Raw genomic sequence first — 17374 nt, 5'->3', positions numbered from 1 at the left:
AAACCATCTTTGGACAGTGTACCCTTAATTTATTATAGGTAATATAATACATAAGAGTTATATCTGTGCCATGACCAGTTATGGAAATAATTAGACTCACTTTGATCCTAAATATTGAAAATACTGGTAAAGGGCACAGGCTAATAGATCTAAACAGGCCATCCACTAGTCATTAACCTTCCCCTAAAGGATGCAGAAAATAATACTTAAAAATCATATGTACAATATGCAATAGCAATATAAATTGCTAATTTATAGCACAGTAACTTTTCTAGCTTGATCTAAACTTTTAGAGAAATATAAATTTTAAAATATGAAAATCCCTGTTTTAGTCACCCTAACTAAATCTTGTTTAAAATGATCTTTAAATACTTTTAAATTGGGGGAAAGAAAATGACCTGAGAGCTTTAGCGTAATCCTCACTAATAAAAGATATATCATTCTAAAGATGACAAAGATCAGTTACAGAAAACAATGAAGACAACTAGGAAGAAAATGTTGAAACCTTTATAAATTTTGTTAATGATTTAGAGTCTGAATATAATCTCTCCACAGATTTATGTGGTATATATTACTGTATATATCATGTATGTATGTATAACCACACAGCTGTATGCACAAAAAGCCATACGTACTGCACTTTCAATGACTTAAGTGTTTTTCAAGGGTCATTTTGTATTTGATTTTTCAGTAATTTTATATTTGATTTTTGTCTTGTAGAGACTGACACCGAACCTAACCCCTAAGTAAGCAGCTCCACCATATGATACAGCCTACCACAATCCTCCCTCCACCTCCAACTATTCTACATCAGTTAACAAGTCTAAAAAAGCTTCACATGTATAATAAAAAATTCATTCAACAAATACTTCTTCAGATCCTAATATGAGCCAGGCAGTCATGCAGACACTTGATAAACACTGATGAGTAAATCAGACCTGGCCCCTGCCCTCATGGAACTTACAAGGTATGGAAGTGGAGGATGATCGAGAGGACAAACAAGTAAACAAACAAAAAATATATGTTTGTGTTAAGTGCTATGGAAGAAAGTTATGGAATGGAATGATGAAAAAAAAGAGAGGGAACCTATTTATGGTTATCAGGCTCAGCCTCTGTGAGGGGATAATACTGAAGTCCAGCCCTAAAGATTAAGTAGCAGCCAGCCTTGCAAAGAGCAAGAAGGAAGAGTATCCTTTCAGAAGGCACAACACGTGCAAAGGTCTCACAGGAGGAAAAGGCTCAGTGGGCTAAAGTAACAGAAAGGCCAGTGTGACTACAGCACAGTGGGAAAACTGCACAAACTGTAAACAAAGGCAGAATAAGCTCTGGTGGCTTAATAAAGATTCTGGATTTTTTTCTAAGTGCCAAAGAAAATCTTTAAAGAATATTTAAAAGAATGACACAGATTTATGTCTTTTCCTCTGAGCAGAAAGTGGTAAGATTTGCTCAAAAGCAAGGGGTGGGGGATAAGCAACTAGATACAGACAGTGCCATTAACTAACATGACAGAGTGAGGAAAAACATTTTGTGGCAGTGTTGTTTAGGGGGGAATTCAGAAGCTTTTGGGCATGATACTTTTGGGATGCCTGTGAGACAGCCAAGAGGTACGTTGAGTAGCAGCTGGATGTCAGTCAGGGGCTGGTAGTTAGGAATATTGATCAAGTTATTTAAACTTACCTAGAATGTTTATAAAATACAAATCAATAGGCCACACTCCAGATCTACCGAATAAGAAAGGGCTTGCACATCATTAACATTGTCAAGTGATTCTGATGTCAACTGGAGGAGTCTGGGAACCACTTACGTAATAAATTTTAACGTTCTTTTTTTTCTTTTTTCTTTTTTTTTTTGAGACAGAGTCTCGCTCTGTCGCCCAGGCTGGAGTGCAGTGGCACAATCTTGGCTCACTGCAAGCTCTGCCTCCCAGGTTCACAACAGTCTCCTGCCTCAGCCTCCCGAGTAGCTGGGACTACAGGCGCCCGCCACCATGCCCGGCTAATTTTTTGTTTTTTTAGTAGAGACGGGGTTTCACCGTGTTAGCCAGGATGGTCTGGATCTCCTGACCTCGTGATGATCTGCCTGCCTCGGCCTCCCAAAGTGCGTGAGCCACCGCGCCCAGCCATAAATTTTAATGTTCTATTTCATCACCTAGGGATATATTGCTTTACAGAGGAAAACAATATATTGAGCAATATGTTATGAAAATGATTTGACTTAATAATCCAGAGCTATTTAGTCTCCTACAGTCATACAGCATTATAGAGGAAACACTTCCAATTAGCCATTTTTTCAAATGACATTTACTGAAGGCCATTCTGAAGGTAAATAATTTCTTCTATTTCATAAATATTTTCTTGAAAAACACCCATGAAATATCTCACAAATGAGTAAATCAAGGTTCAGAAAGGTGGAGTCTTGCCCACAGGACACACAATCAATAACAAAGCCAAGATTCAAAAATCAAGACACTAATTCCAATCTGCTTTCCACCATACAAAAATGCCACTCACCCCCAAAAATCTCATCATCTGTGACATGTACAAAAATCACTGTAACTAGATAAAAAAGAATGAGTACCTTAAAGGAAACAGACAGGACAATCAGAATTAAGAAACAAAAATTTTTTCTTCATTTTCACTACTTAAAAGATTTTTAACTAGTTGATGTATATAGAGTCCACCTTTCAAAGTATCCACAAATGCTCCTAAATAAACACCAAAAGTGTTTGAATCCTATAAAGTCCTAAGACTGTTTCCTAACTTAATGTACGATCTCTCCACAGATTTAGGCACTTTTTGGGGGGGAATAAATAAAAGGCAGCCTGTACAGTGACTTTGCCTTCAGAAAGCTCTGTGTAAATCCCAGCTCACAACTTGCCTACTAACAGCAAAACCTCATGAGGTCACGGGGTTAAAGAACCTATACATGTACTTTTAAAACAGTCATTATCACTTACAGTTATTATTGTAAGAGCATGCAAATAATAACCTATGGCTGTCTGAGATTTTAACACAAAATGTTGGATTTTGCTTTATTTTTGGTGTATACTTCAAACTATCTACCTTTTACTAGTATGTTTCCTAAAATGTTTACAAATTCTCTGTCCTGACCACCCCTGGTCTAGGGTTCATCCCCTGACTATAAGATCAGGGTCCCTCTTTACTTACCCTTTCCTAGCAGTTCTAACAGTAACAACTCATTACCCCCAGGCTAGATTTTAAGTTCCTTGAAAGCAGAAGCTGTGTCTTGTGCACTTCTCAATCATTCATCGGAGTACTACATGTGCTTTACACTAATCTAGGTCCTAAAAATACAGCAGTGAACGAAACTAAGTTCCTGCCCTCTCAGAGCTTATATTCTAATAAGATAAGAAAGACATAAAAACAAATAAATAGATATCAGTTAGGAATAAATACCATACTATTTTAAAAGGTGGGCTATGGAGTCTTGTGAGAGCTGGGGAAGTTGCTATTTCACATAGGCTATCAGAGAAAGCCTCACGTATATGAGAACCTGCAAAAAGTGGAGCAGCCACACAGGTATCTGGAAAAGAGGAGTCATCCAGACAGAGGGAAAAGCAAGCACAAAGGCGCTGAAGCAGGAACATACTTCTTGGCAAGAAGAGTAAGGCGGCAAATGTGTGTGTGGTTGAGACAAGAGAGACACAGGAGAGGGCAGGCCCTGAGAGCAGAAGAATGACATGATCTGAAAGAATCACAGAGGCGTCTGTGTGGAGAATAAAGAACAAAAGCATTGAACCTCATTAAAGTACTGCAATAATCCAGGAGAGAGAATGGTGACGAACCAAGGGAATGATGATGGCCTGATGGCCGTGATGATGATGGTGCTGGTGAGAGGAGGAGGAGGAGGAGGAGGACGAGGAGGAGGAGGAGGAGGAGGAGGAGGAGGAGGAGGAGGAGGAGGAGGAGGGGGAGGAGGGGGAGGGGGAGGAGGAGGAGGGGGAGGAGGAGGAGGGGGAGGAGGAGGGGGAGGAGGAGGAGGAGGAGGAGGAGGAGGAGGGGGAGGAGGAGGAGGAGGAGGAGGAGGAGGAGGGAGGAGTCGTCGTCTAGTTAGGTTTTGAAGATACAGCCCCTATTGCTCATAAGCAATAAGTGGCTGAGAACTCTAAAACCAGCAGTCATGCTAACCGCATGTACTGAACTTTGGAAGTTCATTTCTCAAGGCTCTCCATCTTATTATCCATTTCAGGTAAAGGTCTGAACTGATTAAGAACAGCTCAGCACCTTCTGGTTTGGGAAGAGTGGGACTGCCATTAATTGAGATAAGGAAGTCAGAAGCAATCTCAGAAAGTGTCTAGTACATGGTAGACACTCAAATATGTGAGAATTCAGTTTAACTGAACTCCCAAAATGAAGGAAGTAAACTCAATGTCCTGGTTTCCATTTGCTCTAATATTCTTTCAGTAACATTTGCTAACTACACAAAGAGACTTAACCATGACCACACAGTTTACTACAAGTGTTAAAAAAGAAATCTTACACTGGACCCAGCAACTAATCCTTACCTCTCAAAAATCATTTTCAGTTTTAAATCTACAATTCTTCTGGACATAGAAGAAATTTGCTTTGAAAATTTTGTGACAGCCTGAGGATTCTTAAACCCAAAGTAATTAACCCGTTCATTAATGATGTCATATTCCTGGAAGGTATAGTAGTGCAAATAGAACTCCCTAGGCCAAAATTAATTGAAAATTATAATACTTCACGATAAATTTTCAGAATGCAACAAGACTGAACAAGTCCCCCTAATAAAACAAGCCACAAGCCATCAGCATTTCTTAATGGCTTTTTTTTTTAACCTCAAACAATAAGTCCCTTCAAAACAATTTCAACGAAAAATGTGAATCTGCTTGAGAATGTGCACATCTTCCCTCAAGCAGACACTTTTCCTGCCAATTAGTGAAACTGAACTTCACTTAGGGAAGAATTGGGTGTCCTCACCTTTTGCACTTCTCATAGTGGTCCTCCGGGATTTTCTAACTCAGCACCCTGTCTCTAGCTCCACAAAGAACCTCAAAGTTAGCAGAAATACATTCAAAGGAATTCTCCTAAAATAAAAAGTTCAGATCCTTTCCTCCCCTCTGACTACTTTAAAATTTTATATGAAGCCTTAAGTAACATCTCTGTCCACACGAGTTTCCCTAACGCCCCACCCTAACCTGTGCTTTAGAAACTGCGCTTAACAACTTTCAATGTTGCTTTAAAAACACAGATGATTCAGAGAAGCTGATCGCACCGAATTCAGCAACAGGCAGTACTCTCTCTCCCTACTCCTATCCGCCAAAGGCCTTGAACCAAGCCAAACAAATCTGCTGAAATGCCAGCCAGATTCCCCGTTATCTCCCCGCTCCCTCCCCCCAGGGAGGCCAGGAAGCACCACGGCCACCGGCCACGGGGCCGAACAGAGAAGAACCGCTGCGAAGCACAACAACGGTTTTTTAGAGGCAGGAGGGTTCCGAGCCGGGTTTTCAGCCACCACCCAGGACCCCTGGAGGACGAGCCCGGACGACCCCCACACACACTCGGAGCAGAGCCGCACGGTCCCCCGCGCTCCCGGGGCTCCGCACGCGGATTAGCGGCGAGGCGGCGGGCGGCCTCTCCCGGGAGCCCCGGACGAGGGCCGCGGCGGGGGCGGGCAGTGCCGGATGCCGGGCGCCCGAGGAACCCAGCGTGCCAAGGATGGATGCGGCGTCCCCTAAAGCCGCAGAGCGCTCGGCGCCTGCCACACAGCCCCACGGGCGGGGGGCCCCGGCGGGGACGGCCTAGCCGAGTGGCCGCAGGAGGGAACCCCGAGAAGGGGCCTAGGACGCTGCCGCTTCCCAGTGAGCGGGCGGGGGCGGCCGGCGCGGGTTGCCGTGGGCTCGTTGCTCGTGTCACCTCCGAAACCAGGAAAGCCCCGAAGAGAGGAGTGGGAGCACGCAGTGGGGGCGGGGAGCCTCACACCGAGAGGGTGGCGGCCCCCGGGGGACGAGACCCCGTGGAAGAGGAAGAGGGCGCGACCCCAGCATCTCCCCACCGGCTCGCGGGGAAGGAGCCACCCGCTCCCCGCCCCCACACTCACCATGTAGAGGGTGAAGGGCAGGCCCAGCAGAAAGAGCCACAGGTAGAGGTGCAGCGCGTTCACGAAGGTGGCCTGGTGCGGGTCGTAGTACCAGCCCCCGCTGAGCGCGGCCCACACCCCCTGTCGGAGGATCTGCAGCGTCTGCGACCCCATCCCCACCCGGCGCCGCCGCCGTCGCCGCCGCCGCCGCCGCCGTCCCCGCCCCGGCCCCAGCTCGGCCTCGGTCGCCGGAGCCTGCAGCTGCCCCGTCTATCCACCTCCGGAGCTCCGGGTGAGCGAGCCGGCGCTTCGGCGGTCGCTGGTGCTGCTGCAGGAGGAGGAGGAGGCAGCAAACGAGGAGGAGGAGACCCGAGAGGAGGAGGCGGCGAGCGGCGGGGCGGAGGACGGCGGAGAGGAGGAGACCGGCCTTCTGAGAGCCGCCGCCATCTTGTCTCCTAACACCCGGAGCCGCGGCCCGGCCCCCGCCACCCGCGGCCCGCCAGCGCCCCCACTGCCGCCGCCGCGACCCCCGCCGGCCGCCAGCCCTGGGCCAGGCAGAGAAAGAGGCCCGGCGCCAGGGAGCGACCGAGAGGAAGCCGCGCCCCCTCCAGCTCCTCCTCTCCGCTCCCTCCGCCCCCTGGGCCGGCTACGGTGCGCGCCGCGCCTGGTCCGCCGCGGGCGCCTCCTGCCGACGTCCGGGAGAAGCGCGCGTCAACGCGGCCGGGGTTCAGGGCCCCGGGGGCTGCGGAGGTGGCTGAGACGCGGCTGGCTGGTCCGGAGGACCCCATTCTGCCCCTGGTAGGCCCCCTGGCAAGTTCGCCTACGAGTCTCTAAACGGGGTCTTTCTGACTCCGAAACTAACAGATCTTGACTCCAGAAAAGCGTCCTGCCTGTCATTTATGATATTTGTGAAAGACCTAGGAACAACTGAAGCTAACACCTGAGATACTGAAGGCCTGGAAGAGTTAGGTACGGCTGATGACACTGTTGAAAAGTCATAAACGCACCCAAGTTGAGCAAGAACTGTGTTGGCCCGTGTGTGAGAAAAAATAGCCACGTCCAGACTGGGAGAATTTACTACTTCCAAAGACAAGTTAATAGAAGCGGCACAGGACATGGAAGTATGGAGTGGACAGGTTACCATTTGTACGCGGTGATTGTATTTTTAAATGTGCTGTAACTAGCAGCCATTTTTATTAATGGGCCAATCTAAACAGGGTTGAAAAAGATTAACCGTGACGCCACCCCAAATTACAATAGGGTCTTGTAGATCTCTTTTTATAGCTGTAAAAACGGAATCATTCTTGGCTCTGTGTAATGTTTATAAGGCGTGTCTGATCTCACTGAATAAAATTTTATAGAAAAGTTTGAAATTTGAGTTTATTGAAGTTTGGCTTTTATGGCAATAAAAGTACTGTGTATTCCCAGATTACAGTTGCTATAATTAATGAGGGAAACAAGAGCCAAAGGAAACTGGTGATATTTTAAGAAGAGTAATGAAAAACCGTTACAATACCTCCCAGTGCCATACCACTTTATAGTTGCTCAGACACTATCACACCCATTCCATTCAGACCTCAGGACAACCCTTTGAGGGCAGCATAGCAGCTATTGTTATTTTATGGATGAGAAAACCTGTAAACTCAAGTAAGTGATTGGCCAAATGCTTATGGCCACTTATTGCTCATAAGCAATAAGTGGTTGAGAACTCTAAAACCAGCAGTCATGCTAACTGCATGCACTGAACTTTGGAAGTTCATTTCTCAAGGCTCTCCACCTTATTATCCATTTCAGGTAAAAGTTTGAATTGATTAAGAACAGTTCAGCACCTTCTGGTTATCTGTGACCAGCTTAAATACATGACCAGTTTTCGTCAAAGTGCAAATTCTTAGGGCATCATTCTATAGACACTCTGTGGGGTGGTACCCAGCAATCTGTTTTAACAAGTCCTCCGGAGGATTCTAATGTAGCTTACCACTGTAGAACACCACACCATCCCTAGCCTTGATTTGTTTATGTCCTTATAACCACAAAGCCACTGAGTTCCAGTAAGATACCTTGAAATTGAGAGCTGTGAGTAAACACTGGACAAAATATACTTTAAAATATATTTGTATATCTAAAAGCAAAATTATGATTAAATAATGCAATTTTACAATTAAAATAGTGGCCTTGAAGCTGGTGTCATAGATACCAGCTATTGTCAAGTTTTCATTTGTTTCCCCTAAAGGAGACAGGAAAGCTCTCTGGGAAGGTTTTGGAAGTAATCCCAACCTTTCCAACACAAAGAAAGATGTAAACAAGGATAAAATTCCAATACCACATCAGTTTCCACAACAGCAAAGATCCGCTATGGTTTAATATAAAAGGATTAACTGTAATGAGGGTGAGGTGGATGGGGAGAAATGGAAACTAGAACCAGATACATCCGTGGAATCGGAGGCCAACCCAGCTGGCGTGATAAACGTTCAGCCAGAATGCAGTATCTGGAGGATATGGAACCGGCAGCAGGCCAGGAAGGCAGCCGGCATCAGGCCTGTTAAACAGAGAATGTGGGTGTTGTAAGCCAATGGACAGCTGGAACACATAGCCTTGGAAAATCCAGGAGTGGGCAAAAATTGGGAAATCACGGCAAGCCTTGAGAAAGTGTGTTGCTTATAGCAAGGCCCCAGCTTCAGTGCTGGGGTTTTCTAGGTCTGCCCTTTCGTTTCTACAGGGAATTGATGAAAACAAATAGAACTCAGATCCTTGAGCTACTGAGATACTCACTGGAGGCCCAAGTTTGAGGACCCAGCAGGACAAAACAAATATTCAAAGGCTGGATCTGGGGGGACAGAGTGAGACTTACAAACAAAGCAGGAGCCTAATACCTAGAACTAGGACCAAACTTCACACTGAGCATGGTTGCCTTATGTTGAAGTCCCAGAGTGTTAATATAAAGCTCTAGTTGCCCTCCAAAATGACTGGGATTGATCCCAGAACCTGAGGTGTGAGTCACATGGCAATAGCCATTGGGTGAAAAGGGGTTAGCAGGATTGGCAGGCCCAGAGAGTAGAAACAGCAGTTAGAGACTACATCTTTCAGCTCTGGACTGGTAGGAGCATTTTAGAAAAATACTAATTAACTGACTTAGGGAGTAGCAATTGAGAGTATCCAGTGAAAAAGCTGACCTTTCCAAATGACTGACTCAGTCATTGGGACGGGGTGGATGGGGGGGAATGAGGGGGCGGGGAGAAAGACAATCCTACAGCGCTCTCTGTAGCTCTCAAAATGTTTGTGAATACTGCCTGCCACAACAAGCTTCCTATTTTATAAACTAGAAGCTAAGGCAGAGAGAGGTTAAATGGTTTACTCAAGGTAGCACACTCCATCATGCCCATAAAATATAACAGCAGGACAAAAATCCAGGGAACTAATTTTGCTAAGTGTTAACCCTCTTAGCCATGCATAGAAGCCATTAATAATGTTACACTTAGCATGTCAAAGTTAGCAGCCATGACATACTACCAAATCACCATTTGACATTTGCTCATCTCTCAGCTAATCCTATTAAAATTATATTTTCTGACTAGCTCATAGGCCTCCTGGGGACTGAGAGTACTCGACAGCAGATGCTGTCTCCTGCCTGAAAAGGACAAAGCTGAATGTACGAAATCTAATAACCCCACCCAAGCCCACCTTGGAGCAGAGTCATGCAAACTGCAGCTCTGATCCATTTTTGTGTGGCAATTATCTGTTTTAGACATTATGGCCCACATGTCCTGCCAATGATCCAGACGCAGTAAGTATCCATGTCTTCCCCCAGTCCTGCGCCTCTTCTTTGTCTTCGTGAAACCAACATTTTCCAGCTCACTCAGACTTGGAACCTCATATATCCTTCCCCAGTGTCTAGTCTCCACAGGCTTTCTCCTGCTCAACCCTTCCCTTACGTTGCCAGATCAACCGTTCTGGAGAATCCCCTCATCAAGTCGTACCCAGCAGTCTGCTATTACCACCAATTTCTCCTCTTCTAAACCATTCTACCTTCCACTAACAAATTAATCTCCCTAATCCACTTTTCTTAAAAGCCTTTAATTCCCTTCAGGACTAAAGGGATACTCCTTAGCCGGGCAAAGACCCCAGCAACCTGAATCACTATTTTCTCCAACTTAACTGCCGCTACTCCCCAGCATGAACCCTTTTTATTGGTGAATATCAGTATAACTATTTATGTTTATCAGCCCACTCATTTATTAATTTCTGCCTCTGTGCTTTTACTGACACCATTTGCCTTACTTAGAAAACATTACCCCTCCACCTGCCTGCTAAAATCCACTACGTCTACTCCAAACCCATTCTTCTATTTTTTGAACAGCCTAGAGCACTCACATGTTCCACTCATTTAGCGTTTAATTATGTGCTACTTCAAATCCCTCCATCTAAACTGTACATTCCTTGAGGGCAAGGCACTTCTCAGCATGTTCCACAGGGCCTAGCAGAGAAAGCTGTTAGCATCAATTAACACTCAGTTCATATACATTGATTAAACAAAGCACAGAAACCAATGGCTTTCCAATTAGAGATTTTAATCTGTTTTTTCTTTTTTTCTTTTCTTTTTTTTTTTTTTGAGATGGAGTCTTGCTCTTGTTGCCCAGGCTGGAGTGCAATGGCGCAATCTCGACTCACTGCAACCTCCACTTCCCGGGTTCAAGCGATTCTCCTGCCTCAGCCTCCTGAATAGCTGGGATTACAGGCACGCGCCACCACGCCCAGCTAATTTTTGTATTTTTAGTAGAGACAGGGTTTCACCATGTTGACTAGGCTGGTCTTGAACTTCTGACCTCAGGTGATCCACCCGCCTCGGCCTCCCAAAGTGCTAGGATTATAGGCGTGAGCTACCGTGCCCGGCCTAATCTGTTTCATCATTCATTTGGTAATTCTTCAACATTTCAAAGCATTTCACCAGCTTAGAATAGCAGTTCAAGGAAGGAAAAAATAATATGAAATGAAGGTGAAGAGAATTTGGAAGAGAAGGCTGGGCGTGGTGACTCACACCTATAATCCCAACACTTTGGAAAGCCTAGCTGAGAAGATCACTTGAGCCCAGGAGTACGAGACCAGCCTGGGCAACATGGCGAAACCCCATCTCTACAAAAAATACAAAAATTAGCTGGGCATGGTGGCGCAAGCTTGTGGTCTCAGCTACGCAGGATGCTAAAGCAGGAGGATCACCTGAGCCTGGGAGGTCAAGGATGCAGTGAGCTGTGATTGCACACTCCAGCTTCAGTGACAGACTTAGACCCTGTCACAAAAAAAAAAAAAAAAAAAAAGGAAAGAAAAGAAAAAAAAGAAGTGCCCCAGAATTCTTCTGTGGATCTCTTTTAGCCATTTGCTGTGTACTGCTTTAGATCACATCAGGAAAATAAATATCAAATGGAAACTTCCCAAATCTCACATAATATAATTATAAAATACCATCATCTGGATATGAAGCTAAACAAGTGAAAATAAAAGACTTTCTTACTAACTAGGAGATGATTCTTCTTGGAAATCTCAACCCAATCTCCTTTTTTTAAATGTCAACTCCATATGAGTAATTTAAAATATGTTTTTAGTGACACCAACTACTTTAGTAATTCTTGTTATGGTTTTGTGTCATCCTGAGAGTGTCTTCTGTCATGTCTCAAAAAACCAATTCACTTTTCTTAAACTTACCACACTTTGGGAGCAGGGCAATGAAAGGAAAGGGAAAGCATGCAAGATACTGCGAAACTCCCCAGATATTGTGAATCCCTAAATTAAAAATAATATACACATGAATTGTTTTTCATCTTTTGACATTAAAAGATTCTTCTATGTCAGTCTGATGTCTAATGTGCTTCACTATATCATATGAAAGAGCTTGTTTATCTTTTTTTTTTTTTTTTTGAGACAGGTTCTCACTCCGTCACCTAGGCTGGAGTGCAGTGGCGCGATCTCAACTCTGCAACCTCCGCCTCCTGGGTTCAAATGATTCTCACGTCTCAGACTCCTGAGTAGCTGGGACTACAGGAGAGCACCACTACGCCCAGCTAATTTTTGTATTTTTTGGTGGAGACGGGGTTTCACCATGTTGGCCAGGGTGGCCTCAAACTCCTGACCTCAAGTGATCTGCCTGCCTCAGCCTCTCAAGGTGGTGGGATTATAGGCGTGAGCCAGTGCTCCCAGCCTTGTTTATCTTTCTATTTCAGCTGGGGTAGCATAATTCCAACAGGACCTACTAGGCCAACTGATGTGGCTGGATGATTCTCTGAAGAGTTCACCCCCTGTATTAGTAGCTACCAGTGTCATCCAGAGCGCCTCCCTGTAGCTAAGTAGAAGTGAGAGTTGTCACCTTTGGAGGCCAGATGTCTGGCTCCTCTGGCAAGGAACACCAGGAACATTCCTTGGTGAGAAGGTGGTGTTCATAATGGAAAGGGCCTGGGGGCTGGAATCAGATGAATCTGTGTTTTAATCCACCTTCTGCTACTTTCTAAATTAGTCCTAGCCCCTAGTCAAGGAATCCGAGCAGAATTGAAGAGTCCTGGGGAATTCAAGGTTGCAGACTCATTGCATTTCATTTTGATGGCTGGAGCTTTTTTCTAATGACAAAAATAACATTCCAATGACATCATAAAAAGATCTTTCCCTTGGAGATTTTTCACTGCTTTCTTTATGGAAACCTTGACAGCACATGGGAACATATTTCTTATTAGTTTTTTTTTTTGTCTGTTTGGGGTTTTTGATTTTTAGCTGGGTTTTTGTTTTGTTTTGCCTCACCTACTGTCACCAGGATTCAGTGGCTGTTAATATACATAAGTATTTTCTAATTATGTACAAATAATATGTTTTGTATATACATCATAGGAGGGTGATACATATCAGTATAAAATCTCTCAAATCAGTAAAGATCAGGACACAAAGTAAAACCTCCCTGTTCCTCCAGTTTTCTTGCTCCGTTTCTCTCAACATTTCCTTCCTGTAAACTCATTATATTTTTAGGTCCTATGACAAGTGTTTCTCAATGTGTATATAGTCCATGAATGACCCCAAGTCAAAATCTTCTATTAAACACAGAATCCCAGCCAGGTGCGGTGGCTCACGCCTGTAATCCCAGCACTTTGGGAGGCCAAGACGGGCGGATCACGAGGTCAGGAGATTGAGACTATCCTGGCTAACACGGTGAAACCCCATCTCTATTAAAAATACAAAAAATTAGCTGGGCATAGTGGCACATGCCTGTAGTCCCAGCTACTCGGGAGACTGAGGCAGGAGAATGGCATGAACCCAGGAGGCGGAGCTTGCAGTGAGCCGAGATCGTGCCACTGCACTCCAGCCTGGGTGACAGAGCAAGACTCCATCTCAAAAAAAAAAAAAAAAAAAAACATAATCCTAGAGCCAGGTGCCATGGTGCACGCTGATATTCCAGCTACTTGGGAGGTTGAGACGGCATGATCACTTGAGCCCAGGAAGGTGAGACCAGCCGAGGCAACATAATGAGACAATATCTCCAAAAACAAAGAAACAAACATATAATCTAAGTTATGGTGCTTTATACATAGGGTACTGAAAAACTCCCTCAGTGTTGGGTATCTCTGAAATAAAGAATTAGTATAAACATCTATTGTTTTCTATCTTTTGATATTAAAAGATAGAATTCCAAGCAGCCAATAGAATACTGAAGTATCTTTTAATGAACTAATAAGGATTGATCTTTAAAATATATGGTGAAGTGGCTGGGTGCCGTGGCTCACGCCTGTAATCCTAGCACTCTGGGAGGCTGAGGCAGGCAGATCGCTTGAGCTCAGGAGTTCAAGACCAGCCTGGACAACATGGTGAAACCACATCCCTACCAAAAAAAAAAAAATACAAAAAATTAGCTGGGTGTCATGGTGCATGCCTGCAGTCCCAGCTACCTGGGTGGCTGAGGTGCAAGGATCATGTGAGCCCAAGAGGTCCAGACTGCAGTGAGCTGAGATCATGCCACTGCACCCAAGCCTGGGTGACAAAGTGAGATCCTGTCTCAAAAAAAAAAAAAAAAAAAAAAAAATATATATATATATATATATATATATATGTGGAAAAAAGTATATAACAGCACTTGTCATAAGAGAAAAGAATGTATTTTATGTGATTATCTGTGTACTGAATGTCCCTAGCAGAACATGTGAGAAAATGGCAGCAGGAATTGCCACAGGGGTGAGAGACCTTACTTTTGATTGTATATCTTTTCTCTTAATGAATTTTACATTATGCACATGTTATCCTTTTTTTTTTTTCTTTTGAGACACAGTCTCACCCTGTCACCCAGGCTGGAGTGCAGTGTCAGACCCCTCAATCTCCGCCTCCTGGGTTCAAGCCATTCTTGTGCCTCAGCCTCTCGAGTAGCTGGGGTTACAGGCAGGCACCACCACACCCAGCTAATTTTAGTAGAATCAGGGTTTCACCATGTTGGCCAGCCTGGTCTCAAACTCCTGACCTCAAATGATCTGGCCACCTTGGCCTCCCAAAGTACTGGGATTACAGGCCTGAGCCACTGCTCGTGGCCTGTGTTACCAATTTTTAAAAAGTAATAACCTGGTGGAGAAAGCCGATTCCTATCTTGTACCCAAGACTTGCTAAATTGAAATCTCTCACATGGAGCCTGGAGACGTGCATTTTTAACAAGCTTCTTTATTCTTCTGCAAACTGGTATTGAGAAGCACTGTCCTTGGCCTTTCCTTTTTAAACACTTCTTTCCTCTTTTTTTCCTCTGAACTTCCTACCATCACCACCACCACCTCTTCTCCTCCCTCATTTCCTCATCCATGGTGGATCTCATAGTTTTGCAATTCAATCATTCCACAGCTAGTGATTTTTCACTCTTTTCTCCCCAACCTTGCCATCGGCCAAAACCATGGCACTGGATGGATTTGCTTTCTCTGCCACCAGCATGCAGGCTAGCACTTTCCAGGTTGTGACCCTAACTGTTACCTGGAGTCCTCCTGGCAGTTCTCCAGTTCTCACTCAGCACTTCTTGTGTCTTTATTAATGACTTTTAAAATCTCACCAACGTCTTTCATACAACCCACACCACCCTCTCTCCCACAGAAAACATAGAGGGTATCAGACAGTAATTCCTCAGTTTCCTGCCCCCCCAACTTATAAATTTATTCATATGTACAGTCATCCTTTGTTTTCTTTTTTCCTTTTAAGGTGTTGTTCTGCCTAAGAAAATGGCTTCACCTGTGCTCTCCACCCCACCACCTAAACCCTACTGGGTTTGTTAACCTTGGTCCCTCAGGTACCACCAGCTTTTCCTTTCTGCTGGCACTTTCCTCCAGCCCAGAAACAGGCACTCTTATCCTCAGGGCTACTTCCTCCTCTCCCTCACAGCCAACTTTCTTAAGAGTGAAACAGTGTCTTTCACCTGCCTTGACCTTCGCTGTCATCCCTGCTTCTGCCCACATCATCAATGATTTCCTAGTTGCCATATCCAGCAGGCATTTTTCAGTCCCCGGCTTATTTAATCTCTTTGCTTCCAGGTCACTGCTCCTTCTTCCTGGTTTCCTCCTCTCTAATTACCCTAGACTTGAGTCTCCTTTATGGAATCCTCATCTTCCCTCTACTTCTCAGGATTGTCAGAAAATAAATAAGGGGGAAAAATCCCATCATCCACTTCAGGATTCTTTTTGATCCAGAAGATGATGAGACAGCCTCCCAACCTGAATTATGTAGTGACCCTCAGCCTGTGGAATGACTAGGAAATGAAAACAAATTCCTTATGAGGGGTGATTAGAAATATGACACCTCAAAAATATTGTGAAAAATCATGGTCTGAAGAACAGAAAAATGAGCTCTGCTTTAAACATGACAACTGTATTCTAAATTTGCTTTTTGGGTTTTGTTTTAAATCCCTCAGTCCTAATAGCCTCGAGTTTACTAGGAATTCTTAAATTTCCTAATCTCTAATTTATGCAGAGGTTTTATGAGCATGTATTTATTTATCTATCCACTCTTCCTTTGGACTTGTATTTTGAAAACCTGACAACTTATTGAGAGTTTGCTTGGGCCAGCCTCTCCACCATTTTACATCCAATTGGTCTTTTGTATTTAGTTTTTCATCCTAAAAGTAACACATTCATGGTATTTTTATCTGAGAAAATATAGGAAAGAGAGAGAAAGCTTTGTTAATAGGCCCACTGCCCAATCACAACCAGTGTAAATGTGTGATAACTTTTGTCCTGGTCTCTCCAGCCCTTCCTCCCTCTGCTTCTGTACTATATTCTAATTGGAGTTCAGAGCCTGATTTGGAAAGTTTTTATATCAACACATGCCATGTGCTTTGGCAGTTTGCTAAGTCTGAGAAACTTCAGAGACATTTTTTCCTTCTGACTTACCCATGTGTTTCACTTAGATTCTTGGAAACATTCTCTGTGCTACATGGCTACTAGCCTGCAGTTTCAAGTAACAGAAAATTCTATACAAACTCACATCGACAATAAGGAAAATGATCACTTCATACAACTGGAAGTCCAGGAGGCAAGCAGGCTTCAGGAGCAGCTGAATTTCGTGGCTCTGGATCTCTCTCTCTGCAATGCCCTGTGATGACCTATGTGTGTTGGCTTTGGCCTTGGGTGGCTTCTCTCATGGAGGCAAAATGGCTATAGCCATTACAGGTTTCACATAGCGATGCCATCAATTAGAAGTTCACCTAAGAGCAAGGAAATTTCCCTCCCAGGAACTTCCAACATACTTTTGGTTACATCCCTATTCTTGAGTTAATCCCTGTCCTCAGGGCACTGCCATACACTGACTCATTCTAGCCTGGGTTCCTGAACCAATTACTGCCCAGGGGAATGGAATTACCCTTAGATCAGTCAGTCCCAAATGTGAACTGAGGCTTAGGGGATATGCTGGGAGGGATAAATGCCTACATAAAACTGGACTGTGTCAGGAATCAGAGAGGAAGAATAGATGTTGAATGCCTGTTTCAGAACACCGTCATCAACAAAGCATGTTGTCAGATTTTTGGATCTTTGGTAATTTGATAATTGAAAAACGATGTCTCCATGTAGCTTTAATTTGAATTTCTCTATTGTGAGTGAGGCTGAGCCACTTGCATGTGCCTAGGAGTCATGTGTACTTTTTTTCCTCAGGTCTTGCCTGTTCATATTCTCTGCCCATTTTTCTTTTCTTTTTTTAAATTTTAACTCTTATTTCAGATTCAGGGGGTACATGTGCAGGTTTGTTACAAGAATATATTTCCTGTTACTGCAGTTTGGTATATGATTGAGCCTGTCACCCAGGTAGTGAGCATAGTACCCAATAGTTTTGC

General features: G+C 44.2%; 1 protein-coding gene across 15 annotated transcripts in view, besides 3 other annotated features; it reads right to left on the bottom strand.

The window, feature by feature from the left end:
* PCNX1 (pecanex 1) overlaps positions 1 to 6626 on the bottom strand; it is a 207924-nt gene extending 201298 nt beyond the window's left edge. For all 15 annotated transcript variants that reach the window (XR_245673.5, XR_007063992.1, XM_005267420.5 and 12 more), the window contains exon 1: positions 6082 to 6626. Coding sequence is in view for 13 of the 15 variants with exons in the window: in XM_005267420.5 (XP_005267477.1) it covers positions 6082 to 6234 (153 nt within the window). In the remaining 2 variants the exon portion in view is untranslated. The remainder of the gene's footprint in view (positions 1 to 6081) is intronic.
* Positions 5474 to 5813: a silencer, noted in NCBI's record as "silent region_5895". NCBI's record gives its function as "represses an Ori minimal core promoter by ATAC-STARR-seq in GM12878 lymphoblastoid cells {active_cell/tissue: GM12878}" and the evidence as "EXISTENCE:reporter gene assay evidence [ECO:0000049][PMID:35858748]".
* Positions 5974 to 6313: a silencer, noted in NCBI's record as "silent region_5894". NCBI's record gives its function as "represses an Ori minimal core promoter by ATAC-STARR-seq in GM12878 lymphoblastoid cells {active_cell/tissue: GM12878}" and the evidence as "EXISTENCE:reporter gene assay evidence [ECO:0000049][PMID:35858748]".
* Positions 6534 to 6723: a silencer, noted in NCBI's record as "silent region_5893". NCBI's record gives its function as "represses an Ori minimal core promoter by ATAC-STARR-seq in GM12878 lymphoblastoid cells {active_cell/tissue: GM12878}" and the evidence as "EXISTENCE:reporter gene assay evidence [ECO:0000049][PMID:35858748]".

This window comes from Homo sapiens, chromosome 14 (assembly GCF_000001405.40).
Source record: "Homo sapiens chromosome 14, GRCh38.p14 Primary Assembly".
NCBI classification, from domain to species: domain Eukaryota; kingdom Metazoa; phylum Chordata; class Mammalia; order Primates; family Hominidae; genus Homo; species Homo sapiens.
This window is presented reverse-complemented; position numbering and strand designations above follow the sequence as displayed.